Here is a 14929-nt window from a genome sequence, read left to right on the forward strand (position 1 = left end):
TTCCTTGCTGTGGCTCCTTAATGTTCTTAGTGTGAAGACAAAATCCTTCACCTCACTACGAGGCCATGCAAGATCCATCTACTGCCTACTTCCCAGGCCTCTCTTCACCTCTCTCTGATACCTCTGCCTTGCCATCCAGCCCTCCTGGCTTTCTTTCAGCCTCTGGTATTCTCCTCGCTCCCTCCTGCTACAAGGCCTTGCACATGTTCCTTCTGTGTGAATGTTCCTTTCTCTCCTTCTTACCTAGGCAACTCATCTTTATCTTTCAGATCTCAACAAATGGATCACTCCTCTGACATCTCCAACTGGTTCAAAACCTCACTGTAGAACTATATGAACCACCTATTTCTCCTTTCTTCCTCATAGGCTTTGTCAGTCACAATTTAAATTTGTGATTGTATGATTACTGTCTATCTTCACCACCACACTCAAAGCAAATGACAGTGACTATGTTTCTGCTTATCATTGAGTCTCCAGGACCTCTTGCCCTGCGTCTATCTGACACAGAAAAGAGGCTCAACAAATATTTTTGGACATTGGTTAAATGAATGAATACATGAATGCATGACTGATGGAATGAGGAAGGAATGAATGAACGTCATATGCTGAACCAGCATACTTGTTGCATTAAATTTATTTGAATGGCTTTCCCCAGTCTTTAATCTGATAGCACAATACATATACATATACAAGTAAAATAAAGCACAATTGATGACAAGAAGAAAGAAACTAAAGGGAAAAAATCCTCAACATTTCAAAAGTGGGATTACTTGATTAAAGAATCAGAATGAGACACATGAGACTAGGACGCCACCTTGTGGTTTATTTTCACATTTACCATTTTCGACCTGCTTTCAGAACAACTTCAGAAAGTTCAACCTGGAACTTTTGTACTTCAGAAAAAGCGAGTGTGTGTTGTTCAACCCCATGTGTCCATGTGTTCTCATCATTCAGCTCCCACTTATGAGAACATGTGGCAGCCCTCTCCCTCTCCCTCTCCCCATGGTCTCCCTCTCCCCACGGTCTCCCTCTCCCTCTCTTTCCACGGTCTCCCTCAAATGCCGAGCCGAAGCTGGACTGTACTGCTGCCATCTCGGCTCACTGCAATCTCCCTGCCTGATTCTCCCGCCTCAGCCTGCCAAGTGCCTGCGATTGCAGGCGCGCGCCGCCACGCCTGACTGGTTTTCGTATTTTTTTGGTGGAGACGGGGTTTTGCTGTGTTGGCCAGGCTGGTCTCCAGCTCCTAACCGCGAGTGATCTGCCAGCCTCGGCCTCCCGAGGTACCGGGATTGCAGACAGAGTCTCGTTCACTCAGTGCTCAATGTTGCCCAGGCTGGAGTGCAGTGGCGTGATCTCGGCTAGCTACAACCTCCACCTCCCAGCCGCCTGCCTTGGCCTCCCAAAGTGCCGAGATTGCAGTCTCTGCCCGGCCGCCACCCCGTCTGGGAAGTAAGGAGCGTCTGCCTGGCCGCCCATAGTCTGGGATGTGAGGAGCCCCTCTGCCCGGCTGCCCAGTCTGGGAAATGAGGAGCACCTCTTCCCGGCCGCCATCCCGTCTAGGAAGTGAGGAGCGTCTCTGCCCAGCCGCCCATCGTCTGAGATGTGGGGAGAGCCTCTGCCCCGCCGCCCCGTCTGGGATGTGAGGAGCGCCTCTGCCCGGCCACGACCCTGTCTGGGAGGTGAGGAGCGTCTCTGCCCGGCCGCCCCATCTGAGAAGTGAGGAGCCCCTCCGCCCGGCAGCCGCCCCGTCTGAGAAGTGAGGAGCCCCTCCGCCCGGCAGCCACCCCGTCTGGGAAGTGAGGAGCGTCTCCGCCCGGCAGCCGCCCCCTCCGGGAGGGAGGTGGGGGGCAGCCCCCGCCCGGCCAGCCGCCCCGTCCGGGAGGTGGGGGCGCCTCTGCCCGGCCGCCCCTGCTGGGAAGTGAGGAGCCCCTCTGCCCGGCCGCCACCCCGTCTGGGAGGTGTACCCAACGGCTCATTGAGAACGGGCCATGATGACGATGGCGGTTTTGTGGAATAGAAAGGGGGGAAATGTGGGGAAAAGATAGAGAAATCAGATTGTTGCTGTGTCTGTGTAGAAAGAAGTAGACATAGGAGACTCCATTTTGTTCTGTACTAAGAAAGATTCTTCTGCCTTGGGATGCTGTTGATCTATGACCTTGCCCCCAACCCTGTGCTCTCTGAAACATGTGCTGTGTCCACTCAGGGTTAAATGGATTAAGGGCGGTGCAAGATGTGCTTTGTTAAACAGATGCTTGAAGGCAGCATGCTCGTTAAGAGTCATCACCACTCCCTAATCTCAAGTACCCAGGGACACAAACACCGCGGAAGGCCGCAGGGTCCTCTGCCTAGGAAAACCAGAGACCTTTGTTCACATGTTTATCTGCTGACCTTCCCTCCACTATTGTCCTATGACCCTGCCAAATCCCCTTCTGCGAGAAACACCCAAGAATGATCAATAAAAAACAACAACAAAAAAAAAAAAAAAAAAGGAAAAGCACCATTATAAACTATGGCAATAGAGGGGAGTGGAATTTTGCTTAACTATCGCTTCCATGCCGTAATCCCAAAGAGTTGGCCCAAACATTACCTATCATTTATTTTTATTTTTCATTTTAATTCAATATTGAATTAATATAGAACAGCATTATATATATGCTATTCTCTCTATATAATATATAATATATAGAATAGCGTATTATAACATTATATATAATATATAACATAGCATTATATATGTTATGCTATTATATATATAATATATAAATATATAATATGTATTTATCAATTAAACCAAGAAGTAGACTTCTAGGACTTCACTTGAAAAGAATTATATGCAGGCTGAGCCCATCATACTGCTATTCTTTTTTTTTTTTTTTTTTTTGAGACGGAGTTCTTGCTGTCGCCCAGCCTGGAGTGCAGTGGCGCGATCTCTGCTCACTGCAGGCTTCACCCACCGGGTTCACCCCATTCTCCAGCCTCAGCCTCCCGAGCAGCTGGGACTACAGGTACCCGCCACCTCGCCCGGCTAGTTTTTTTGTATTTTTAGTAGAGACGGGGTTTCACCGTGTTAGCCAGGATGGTCTCAATCTCCTGACCTCGTGATCTGCCCGCCTCGGCCTCCCAAAGTGCTGGGATTACAGGCGTGAGCCACTGCGCCAGGCGATGCTATTCTTATATGAATGACAGCTCTACATTTCTGTCTACATATATAATGCTATATATATGCTATGCTATTCTATATATTATTCTATATATAATATATGTTATGCTATTCTATATTATTCTATATATGATATAGAACATATCCTATATATTATTCTATTATATATGTTATGCTATTCTATATATTATTCTATATATAATATAGAATATATTCTATTATATGTAATATAGAATATATTCTATTATATGTAATATAGAATATATTCTATATATATAATATAGAATATATTCTATTATATGTAATATAGAATATATTCTATTATATGTAATATAGAATATATTCTATATATATAATATAGAATATATTCTATTATATGTAATATAGAATATATTCTATATATATAGAATATATTCTATTATATGTAATATAGAATATATTCTATATATATAGAATATATTCTATTATATGTAATATAGAATATATTCTATTAGAATATATTCTATATTATATATATATTCTATATTATATATATATAATAGAATATATTCTATATCATATTATATAATATATAATTATATATTATATAGAATATATAGAATAGCATAATATATAGCATATATAATATATAGCATATGTATAACATATAGCATATATAATATATAGCATATGTATAACATATAGCATATATAAATATAGCATATATAACTCATATTATATATGCATATATAATATATTATATATGGAATAGCATAACATTTATATAATGCTGTGTTATATAATAGGTAAAGGTATAAATAATCAAATGAGAATCAATACCTTTGTACCCACCACCCAGCTTAGCACTTAGCACCACTAGTACTTTGAAAGCCCTTTGTGTACTTTTTCTTTTCTCCATCTTCTCCATTCCCCATTCCCCACTATTTTATTTTTATTTATGGTTTACCATCTATATGTCTATCAATGAACAATATTTTTAATTTAGCATTTTAAAACTTCATATAATATGGGATTATACTCTATTTGACTTGCTTATTAAGTTAAACATTATTTTCCTGGAATTCATCATGTTGATAAGTGGAGATGCAATCCATTTTTTTTTTTTTTACTACTCTGTAGTATTTCATTGTATGACTATACCACAACATATTTACCCACTCTACTCTTGATAGACAGTCAGCTTGCTTCCAATTTGGGTGTATTATGAATGGTGCTGCTGTGAACATTCTTGTACACATCTGGCGCACACATGCGGGGATTTCCCAGAGGTTGAATTGCTGGGTGTGGGAATCTCCAAATTTAGATAATATCAAATGTTTTCCAGTTTATTTTATTATGCCAATTTATACTCCCACCATTAGTGTATGAGACTTTTCATTGTTCTATATTCTTGGCAACAGTTGATATTGCCAGATTTTTCCATTTTGCCTCTTTGATGAGTGTAAACAGTATCTCTTTTGTTTTAGTTTGCATTTCCCTGATCATGAAAAGAGGTTGATTCTGTTTTCAAAGATTTATTGGTCACCCTTGTTTCTTCTGAAAAGTTCCAGTTTCAGTCTTTTGCCTCATTCTTTCATTTCTTCACACAAGAGTCATTTGAATTGCTACTATATGCCAAGTACTATCATAGCCTGGAGGATACAAAAATGAATACAACATAGACCCTGCCCTCTGCTGTGGAGCTCTTGGCTTATCTATCATTTCGTTGCCTTCAGCGATCAAATGAAGACTAAAAAACAGGAAAAATTTTTGAGCACCAATTATACAATTACCACTTTAACACAAAGTAATAGAAAGTTATGAACTCTGGTCTCAGGGAATTTACAAAAGCACAACTTACACAAAACAATAACAAATTATATAAAGTCCTATATATACCACAGAAATTCAGAGGCTATAATAAGCAGAAGAAGAGGTAATTGATCAAGTAGATCCATAGTTTAAATTTAAATGTGTTTCTTTTTAACTAATGGAAAAATGTTTTTCTATAGTCTACTCGTTAAAGTAAGAAGATAAAAAAGTAAAGAACCATTTTTAAGTCAATAAAATAATAATCAACATGAAGATGTGGCAAAGATTATTTTTAAATGGGTAAAAATTGTGCTAAAGAATAAACCACTGTCACATACAAACATGCCTATTCATAAGGGCAAGTACCTTGTATTTGTCATTAAACTTACTAATGAAAATTTCCCAGTTCTTTCTATGGAATCTAATATCTCCTAATAAGCAGCTACTAGATTAACTTTCACCAAACTTGGTAATGCATAGAATTCAATTATACATTTTAAAAATAACTTCCAGTGATTCTTCTTTGCTTCTATGCAAAAACTCCCCACAAACCACCCTATTTGTAATAATCTCTCTAAAGGAGACTCTCCATAGTGCTATCAGACAATTTGTTATAATTGGGGGAGTATTAAAGAATACAAGATTCAGGCTGGGCATATCCTGTTTGGAATTCTGATTCTTCCACATACTTGTGTGACTTTAGATAGGTTTACATAAACTTTCTGAATCTATGTTTTCTAAGCCACACAATGCAAGAATAATTATTATAAAGATTTACTTGATTGGTGTAGACAAAGGACCCAATTCAGTGTTCAGTATCTAAAATAACTCCATAAAAGGCAGACATTATTCACAATAACTCAGTTTAACTCTATTTCCACTTGCTCTTCTCTCAGCAGAAATGTAGCGCTGTCATTCATATAAGAATAGCATTATGATGGGCTCAGCCTGCATATAATTGTTTTCAAGTGAAGTCCTAGAAGTCTACTTCTTGGTTTAATTGATAATTTCTTTTGTTCATTCAATACTAATCATATGTAAAACACTGTACTAGATGCGGGTAAAAGTCCTTCCTTTCCTCCTTCCTCACTCCTGGTTACTCTCAGGCATCCTTACAATTCTCAGTATGCCTCAGCCCAAATCACCGTTCACTGTAGTAGTCCAACTCTAGATGAATGACAATTTTGTATTTAAAACAAAATAATTGGACAAGTCCAGGAAAAATATTTTTGATATACAGCAAATAACCTTTGCTTTCTTTTGTGCAGGTTAAATAATTCATGTTCCTTTACCTTTGAAGCACCTGTTCACATGTGGAATATTTCTGCAAATAATCCTTCAGCATTTTCCCCTTCTTCACAAGCACAGAATAAGAAGAGCACAATTTTCTGGCTCTACAAAGCAGCAACTTTGAGCTGTGTGTAGGTGATGTAATCTATTGCTGTGTCTAAATAACAATATCAATTGTTGACTAAAAATAACAATAGAATAAGTAAAACACAACAAGGAAGATATTAACTAAAACCTTAAAAAAAAACTCCATTAAAAATTAACCAAATAAATGACATATGCTGGATTCTATTAATGACTACACAGCAATCTCCAGACTGTATTTGCTTTTGTCTTTATTGACCTGAGTTTTCCTGACTCTCATCCTTCAGACTTTCCTCCTATGTCCTCCTCCAGCCAAAGTCAAGCCTGCAAACCTTGGTGAAGGGGTGGGTTGCCCCTCCACACCTGTGGGTGTTTCTCGTTAGGTGGAATGAGAGACTTGGAAAAGAAAAAGACACAGAGACAAAGTATAGAGAAAGAAATAAGGGGGCCCAGGGGACCAGCGTTCAGCATACGGAGGATCCCGCCAGCCTCTGAGTTCCCTTAGTATTTATTGATCATTCTTGGGTGTTTCTCAGAGAGGGGGATGTGGCAGGGTCATGGGATAATAGTGGAGAGAAGGTCAGCAGATAAACACGTGAACAAAGCTCTCTGCATCATAGACAAGGTAAAGAATTAAGTGCTGTGCTTTAGATATGCATACACATAAACATCTCAATGCCTTACAGAGCAGTATTGTTGCCCGCATGTCCCACCTCCAGCCCTAAGGCGGTTTTCCCCTATCTCAGTAGATGGAACATACAATCGGGTTTTATACGATGAGACATTCCATTGCCCAGGGACAGGCACGAGAGAGATGCCTTCCTCTTGTCTCAACTGCAAAGAGGCATGCCTTCCTCTTATACTAATCCTCCTCAGCACAGACCCTTTACCGGTGTCGGGCTGGGGGACGGTCAGGTCTTTCCCTTCCCACGAGGCCATATTTCAGACTATCACATGGGGAGAAACCTTGGACAATACCTGGCTTTCCTAGGCAGAGGTCCCTGCGGCCTTCCACAGTGTTTGTGTCCCTGGGTACTTGAGATTAGGGAGTGGGGATGACTCTTAACGAGCATGCTGCCTTCAAGCATGTGTTTAACAAAGCACATCTTGCACAGCCCTTAATCCATTTAACCGTGAGTTGACACAGCACATGTTTCAGAGAGCACGGGGTTGGGGGTAAGGTTATAGATTAACAGCATCCCAAGGCAGAAGAATTTTTCTTAGTACGAACAAAATGGAGTCTCCTATGTCTACTTCTTTCTACACAGACACAGCAACAATCTGATCTCTCTTTCATTTCCCCACACCTTGGCCCCCTTGTTTTTTTTTTTTGTTTTTTTTTTTCTGCACCAATCTCTTGGCAATCATTTCCACTATTGAGGCTTCAGTTCTCACTGCAGAGCTGGATCTACTTGAAATCTATCATCATTAGTCAAACATATCAACCCATGTACAAGACAGCTTCACTTGGGTGACCTCTCTTCAGTCCAAATCTAAATGCAACATGGCTTCCTCTATTGCCCACCCCCACCCCCGTCTCAAACAGCACCCTTTCTAAATTAATAGGCCATGATCAAAACCTTAATGATTTTCTCCTTTGATTCCTATTCAACTGTCATAGAAACAGTCTTGTTCACTTTTCTATACCTGTGCATGCAAAGATGACTGGCATGGAGTAAGAATTACATAAGTGTTTGCTAAATTGATGAATGAATGACAATAACTCTGTGAAGTATGCACGGATGCATGCAAGTTAGTGTCTCTCTTGTACTCCTTAGGATCCAGAGGCTCAGAGAGCTGGGTCACTTAACCCAGATAATGCAGCTGATATTGGCACAGTCAGGGTTAATTCACAGTCTCTGGCTCTGGAATAACAGATCTTATTTTCATAAGATCTCTTTTTCTTCGCTATATTCGCCCTTCTGCAGCGTGTAGGTCATAAATAAGGTTGTTGTCTCTCACATTAGTCCCTCAACACCTTGAATCATGTTTCTGGCAATGATCTCCTGGATAGACTTCCTTACTGTGGTATGGGCTCCACCAGTCTGTTCTGTACCCAACAGTCACTGTCTTACCATCTGACTGTGCTTAATCTCCTCCGTTTTCTCCTTGATCTCTTTACAGTATGCTCTTTTCTTCACCGCTACTTCCTTCTTGAAGCTCTCTTATCCTTTTATTACTACCTCTCTGACTACTCTTCCTTTTTTTTTTTTTTTTTTTTTTTTTTGAGACAGAGTCTCTCTGTCGCCCAGGCTGGAGGTCAGTGGTGCGATCTTCTTGGCTCACTGCAAGCTCCGCCTCCCACGTTCACGCCATTATCCTGCCTCAGCCTCCCAAGTAGCTGGGACTACAGGCGCCCACCACCACAAGGGCTATGTATTTTTTTTAGTAGAGACGGGGTTTCACCGTGTTAGCCAGGATGGTCTCGATCTCCTGACCTCATGATCCTCCCGTTTCGGCCTCCCAAAGTGCTGGGATTACAGGCGTGAGCCACCGCGCCCGGCCCCTCTCTGACTACTCTTTCACCATTTTCTACCTCTTCCCCTTCTTCTTTAATGTATACTCTCCTGGGTTTTTTCCTTGGTCCTCTCTCCTTTTTATAGGTTTTTTCTTTGGGAAGAGCTCAAATCTTCTCAAACTTTTAAGTTAATGGCTCCAAAATCTCTCCCTTCTACCCTAATTATCACCAAAATTCCCATTCTGTATTTCCAACCACATTTAGTTGTGCTGCCTCTGTGGGGCTCAAACTGAACTTACCTTCTCTTCTTCATCAGTTTCTCCATCTCAACCTTCCTATTACTTTTAATGCCACCCCAGTTTTACTAGCCACACAGAACAAATCAAGGATTCATAACTGATTCCTCCCTATTCTTAACCCTTTATATCCTATCAGACATCGAGTCCTCTTGGGTTCCCTTCGTAATTTCTTGACTTGTCTTAAGGTCTTCCATAATCTAGCTGCAGTCACCTATCTGCCCTCATCTCCACTGTTCCCCAGCGCAGGTTCCCTACTACAGCCAGTCTGACACAGTTAGTCCTTTTCGTTGCAAATACTAGACCATGGTCATCCTGGATCCCTTAGAAGCAATGTCCATTCTCCTTTTCTCAGGCATTCCGGATACTTCTAGCCTTTAGGTCCAGCTTGAAAAACAGTTTTCAAGCTCTATTTTGATTCTAGTGCTCACTTCCTTCTCCCTTCTTTTACCATATATCGTGATTATTTGAAGTACTTGATATGCAGCAAATAATCAATGAATGGTGCCAATTATTTTTGTTAATGGTGGCAACATATTTTTGTCTTAATTATCCAATGAAGTGAAAGCTTCTTAAGCACCAAAAATCACATCTTTTCTTAACCCCATGGCACCTATCACAATGGACTTCCTGGAACATTAAGTACTCAGCATTCTCCTCTTCCCAATCAGTCTCAGCACAGCTAAAAGGAGAGCAAAACAAACTCATTTTAGTTGCAATCAAGCTTTCAGTCTGTTTCTATGCTATGATGAAATTTCTCCTTAAAAAAAAAAGGCGGGGCCGGGCGCGGTGGCTCACGCCTGTAATCCCAGCACTTTGGGAGGCCAAGACAGGAGGATCACGAGGTCAGGAGATCGAGATCATCCTGGCTAACACGGTGAAGCCCCGTCTCTACAAAAAATACAAAAAAAAAATAGCCGGGCCTGGTGGCGGGCGCCTGTAGTCCCAGCTACTCGGGAGGCTGAGGCATGAGAATGGCATGAACCCGGGAGGCGGAGCTTGCAGTGAGCCAAGATCGCGCCACTGCACTCCAGCCTGGGCGACAGAGAGAGACTCCGTCTCAAATTAAAAAAAAAAAAAAAAAAATCCAACAGCTCAGTAAGTGGCAAAGGTTAGGATGGTTTAGAACTTTCAGGATCAAAAAAACCCTTAATGTCTATATAACACTATTTTTCTTTTTTTGACTCCAACATTGCCATATTTTCCTTTGAGGAACTCCCAGAATTCTACTTTACCCTGAATGTGGGAATTACTAATGATAAGTAGGTGCATTTTTGAGGGGCCTATATGGTTTATATAGTGGGAATTGATACTCTGGATGTAACACATTTACCATATTTGTGTAAATCTCTTAGAGAAAATTTAAAGTTAGCCAAAAAAACATTAACTAAATGGGTTATTAAAACACAATAAACTAGCTATGTCCAACCATACATCTCAGAAAAGATCTCATATTTATAGAGATGAGAGTAGGAATAGCTCCAATATAGGCAAATAATCTCCAAAGTACATAATCTTAATGTACAGAAAAACTAAAAATTAACTCTAAGCATGATACTGAATAAGTATTATTCCTCATAAAACTATCTTCCTCTTTTATTAGTCAAACAAAATCAAGGTTAAACAAAGGCTTAACTGACTGCTTGTAAACACATCCAAATTATTTTTAAAAACTGAAAAATACAATTTTAGAATCACAGAACTTTATGTTATTTGATTGATTATAAATTACATTACCTGTAAATAGAGATGGCGTATTTTAAGCCTTAGATTAAATAAACTTTTAAAACGGTCAATTTTTAATGATTAAAAAACCCCAACAAGCGAATGAAAAGTACATAAAACTTATGATTTAAAAAGAAAAAAAAAACTATAAAGAAAAAAAAAAACTATGAAAAAAAAACCCAACCAGCAAGTGAAAACTACACAAAACTCTTGACTTCTAAATTGCATGAAGGATACGAATGTCAAGAAAAACAAGACTTCCCTGACCGGGAATCGAACCCGGGCCGCGGCGGTGAGAGCGCCGAATCCTAACCACTAGACCACCAGGGAACTTGCACAACGCTTCTTCCTAAATATATTTGTTGTGTTAAAAATCTGCACTTAATTCCTCTAACCAGTAGGGGATAGAGTATTGCGTCTAAGCCACACCCACTTTGTTCTTGTTCTGAGTCCTGGTCCCTGAATCTATTTCCTGAAATTGAAGCAAATTCTCGGAAGCGCCGGGATGGCCCCTTAAGGAAAAAACCTATACCCTCCAAATCTAATCCTCTTCCTATTGCCATGCTGGAAAATATATCCTGGAAATTCTCATTCTTTACGTAACATGTAAATCTCTTTACCAAGACAAGTGTTGTCTGGACGCGTACTGTCCAGAGCCTTGTAATTTGCTTTATTATTTTATTAACCATTTTAGCTGCTCTTTCCAAATCTAAGTTCTGTCCCTCTCCGTCTTTCTTCGTTCTCTGTCACGCGGATGTTAAGTCCCTCTAAACATTTTACTAAATCTAACGATAGATTGCCACCAGCTGAGAGCGTTTCTCGGCGAAGAGCCGGAGCGACGCGCTGTCCTGGGTGCAGAGCGCGTGCTCAACAAATATGGGTGATGAAGGGTCACGTAGCCTCATAGCACGCGGTTCTATTTTATTTATTTGGCACACGCAGGCTAACGAGGCTGAGAGAGCTGTGGGTGGTATGCCTAGTGAAGGATCAGGACATCTGCCCAAGGCTCCAAGCAAGTCCTTCAAACCCACTGTGTTTGTTATCCTCCTACTTTCCAAACTGTGTTATTATCTGGGCAATTGCTTCACTTCTCCGCGTTATATACTAGACACGGCCAGGAAATGATGCAATTACCAAAGGAGTCAAGACACCTTACAGCCCAGCCTTAATTCAGAAACCCTCATAAAGTAGATGCAGAGGGCAGTAAGATATAACTCAACTTTGAAAATGTCAGCCGTTATAGTTGAAGAAATCTGACCCAAGAGACTTCGCTCCGCTGCAAGATGGAAGGAAGCTTAAGTAAGACATAAATTTGTAATGAACTTGCTCACAACATCCGCCGCCACTGTGACTTGCAGTCATCATCCATTACCACAAAATTAGGTGAGCCTGTGCTTGAATCTCGTTTCTTTTTTTTCAGCAGCTCAGAGATGGAGTTTAAATCATTGATATACTTTATCTGAAAATATGTAATAATATGAGAACAGGAAGATTTAAAGGGGTTATTAAGATAATAAGATAGAAAAATCATCAGAAGAAATTTCTACACTTTATTGTATTTTAAGTGGGACCCTTTTTTCCTATCCCAAGGAATCTTAGATCAAGTTCAGTAGGTGGAGCTCTTAACTCTTACTTAAGGGGTTGCTAGACCTCAGCATTAGACCATCTGGTTTTGAATAAAAAGATTAAGCAGATATTAGTTTAAATTTGTATAGGTTTAGTCACAATATTTTACACAAAGTACAAAAGGGTATGGTGAAAACCATCCTCCTACTCACTCCTTTCTTCTTCCCAGAAGTAACCAGTGTTACCAGCTTCTTCTGTATCTCCCAGAAATAATCTATGCACATACAACACATATCTGGTTCATTTTCCTCCAACTTTTTGGTTTCGAAACATGTCAAAGCAACAGAAAGTTGCAACTATAGAACATTGAACACACATATACCCTTCATCCATACCTTTGCCTTCCAATTTAGAGCTCCAGCAATTTGTGGCTATTAGGCACTAAAATGTAGCCAGTATGAATAGATGTTCTGTAAATGCAGGATCCACACTGTATGTTTAAGCCTTAGTATTTAAAAAAAAGAAATGTAAAATATCGTGTTAATACTTTTTACTTTAATTACATTTTTAAATGAGAATAATTGGATATATTGGGTTAAATAAAATATTAAACTTAATTTTGCTTTCTTTTTACTTTTTTAATGTAGCTACTAGGATATTTAAAATTATACATGTCCTTACATTATATTTCTATCTTACAGTACTGTTCTAGATTCATCAATTATTAATATTTTCCATATATGCTTTCTCTATTTTTTTTGGAACCATTTGGGGTTAGCTGCAGACAGCATGATGCTTTATCATACATACTAAACACCGTATTATGCATCTACTAAGAGCAATCAATATAATTATCAACTCAAGAAATTTAATTCCACATTGTCATTTATTATATGGTCAATAATCAAATTTTCTAGTTGTCCTAATAATCTCATTTATAGTTTTTCTTTTAATCTAGGCTACACTCTTGGATTATACCTTGCATTTAGTTGTCACGTATCTGTAGTCTCCTTCCTTTACTCTGGAACAGTTTCCCCAGCCTTTTTTCTTTTACATCATTGACCTTTTTGAATAGTGGAGGACAATAGTTTCAGAAAGTTCGTCAATTTAAATATTTCTTCTGGCAGGACAACTATCCTAAGTGATATGTGCATTATATCAGAATGCACATAATTCCAGTGTATCACATTACCTGTAATGGGTAAGTGTGGTAGGCAGAAATGTCCACTTCACCCTACAACACCAGAGATGTCACTGTCCTAATCCCCAGAACATGTTGACATGTCACCTTACATGGCAAAAGGAACTTTGCAAATGTGATTAAGATTTTGAGATGGAGATTATCCTAGATTACCTGGATGGGCCCCAGTCATCACAAGCGTTCTTATGAGTGAAAGAGGCGGGGGGCAGAGGAGTCAGGTCAGAGTGATGTGATGTGCAAAAGACTCATCTGGCCATTGCTGCCTTTGAAAAGGGAGGAAGGGGAACCACAAGCCAAGGAATGCAGGCGGTTCCTCTTCTCCCATAGGCTTCCAGACAAAAAGCAGCTCTGCCAACATCTTGACTTTAGCCCACTGAGACTTACGTTGTACTTCTGAACTACAGAACTGTAAGATAATAAATTTGTATGGCTTTAAGTCCCTAATTTAGTGGCTACGTACCGTCATTTGATTAAGGTGTATGCTATATTTCTCCATCATAAAGCTACCTTTTATAACTGTAATTAATTGGCAAATGTTGGAAAAAGCAAATATCAATGGTGGAAGTGATTCTTTGAGACTGTAGACCATTCTGTTCCTCAGCAAACTTTTAGCCAATGGGTTTAGCATTCACTGATGATCCTTGTCTGAATCAATTATTGCTATAGTGATGGCAAAATGGTGATATTTTATCATTCTTCTGAAAAGAACTTTCCCTCCTCTCCTCCCTCTTTGTATTCTTTATTTAATTTTTAAATATCAGCCTGGACTCATATTCTTTTTTCTGTTTTAGTGAGTTTTTATTCAATGTGTTATATTCTGTTGCTGTCATTATTCATTTAAAACCTAAATCGTCCCAAATTCAGCCAGAGGGAGTCTATTCAAACTGGCTCCTGTGTTCTTTTGGAATGTCCCTATACATTTTTGAGCACTTCTTTACTTTCAAGCACAACATGGCCCAGGTACAGCCTGTACTTTATAACAGGAAGAATTAACATCTTCATGCATATATCTATTTTTCTTTAATTTCCTTTTTAAATTTTTTACACAAAGAGTAGCATACTCTACATGATTTTCTGTATTTTTTAATTAATATCTTTTAGAGGGTGTTCATTATTTAAATGGAGTTTCCTCATTGTTTTTGACAACTGCAGGGTAGGTATTCCACTGTATAGATATCTTACTAAAGCAGTTCCATATCATTGGGCATTTAGATTGTTTACAATCTTCTGCTGTTACCAAAGTACAGCCAAAAATAACCTTGGAACAACATAATTTAACATTTAATTTTTATTAACTTGCCCACAAGTGATTCATCTTATAGAGTGCCAATTTCTGATTTGAAAATGTTAGAAGAAAA

The 14929-nt window shown here is 39.4% G+C and overlaps 1 protein-coding gene and 1 non-coding gene across 9 annotated transcripts in view, besides 5 other annotated features; one reads left to right on the forward strand and one right to left on the reverse strand.

The window, feature by feature from the left end:
- Nucleotides 1625–2547: an enhancer, noted in NCBI's record as "NANOG-H3K27ac-H3K4me1 hESC enhancer chr6:126091955-126092877 (GRCh37/hg19 assembly coordinates)". NCBI's record gives its function as "activates a minimal SCP1, AML or CMV promoter by ChIP-STARR-seq in naive H9 embryonic stem cells {active_cell/tissue: H9 hESC(naive)}" and the evidence as "EXISTENCE:reporter gene assay evidence [ECO:0000049][PMID:30033119]".
- Nucleotides 10985–11254: a silencer, noted in NCBI's record as "silent region_17520". NCBI's record gives its function as "represses an Ori minimal core promoter by ATAC-STARR-seq in GM12878 lymphoblastoid cells {active_cell/tissue: GM12878}" and the evidence as "EXISTENCE:reporter gene assay evidence [ECO:0000049][PMID:35858748]".
- TRE-CTC1-7 (tRNA-Glu (anticodon CTC) 1-7) lies at nucleotides 11063–11134 on the reverse strand. The gene has a single exon. It is a non-coding gene; the product is annotated as a tRNA-Glu (tRNA).
- Nucleotides 11209–11758: an enhancer, noted in NCBI's record as "H3K27ac hESC enhancer chr6:126101539-126102088 (GRCh37/hg19 assembly coordinates)". NCBI's record gives its function as "activates a minimal SCP1, AML or CMV promoter by ChIP-STARR-seq in primed H9 embryonic stem cells {active_cell/tissue: H9 hESC(primed)}" and the evidence as "EXISTENCE:reporter gene assay evidence [ECO:0000049][PMID:30033119]".
- Nucleotides 11759–12307: an enhancer, noted in NCBI's record as "H3K27ac hESC enhancer chr6:126102089-126102637 (GRCh37/hg19 assembly coordinates)". NCBI's record gives its function as "activates a minimal SCP1, AML or CMV promoter by ChIP-STARR-seq in primed H9 embryonic stem cells {active_cell/tissue: H9 hESC(primed)}" and the evidence as "EXISTENCE:reporter gene assay evidence [ECO:0000049][PMID:30033119]".
- NCOA7 (nuclear receptor coactivator 7) overlaps nucleotides 11931–14929 on the forward strand; it is a 150920-nt gene continuing 147921 nt past the window's right edge. For all 8 annotated transcript variants that reach the window (XM_047418206.1, XM_047418207.1, NM_001199620.2 and 5 more), the window contains exon 1: nucleotides 11931–12187. The gene's annotated coding sequence lies outside the window, so the exon portion shown is untranslated. The remainder of the gene's footprint in view (nucleotides 12188–14929) is intronic.
- Nucleotides 12135–12194: an enhancer, noted in NCBI's record as "active region_25030". NCBI's record gives its function as "activates an Ori minimal core promoter by ATAC-STARR-seq in GM12878 lymphoblastoid cells {active_cell/tissue: GM12878}" and the evidence as "EXISTENCE:reporter gene assay evidence [ECO:0000049][PMID:35858748]".

Source organism: Homo sapiens, chromosome 6, assembly GCF_000001405.40.
Source record: "Homo sapiens chromosome 6, GRCh38.p14 Primary Assembly".
Lineage (NCBI taxonomy): Eukaryota > Metazoa > Chordata > Mammalia > Primates > Hominidae > Homo > Homo sapiens.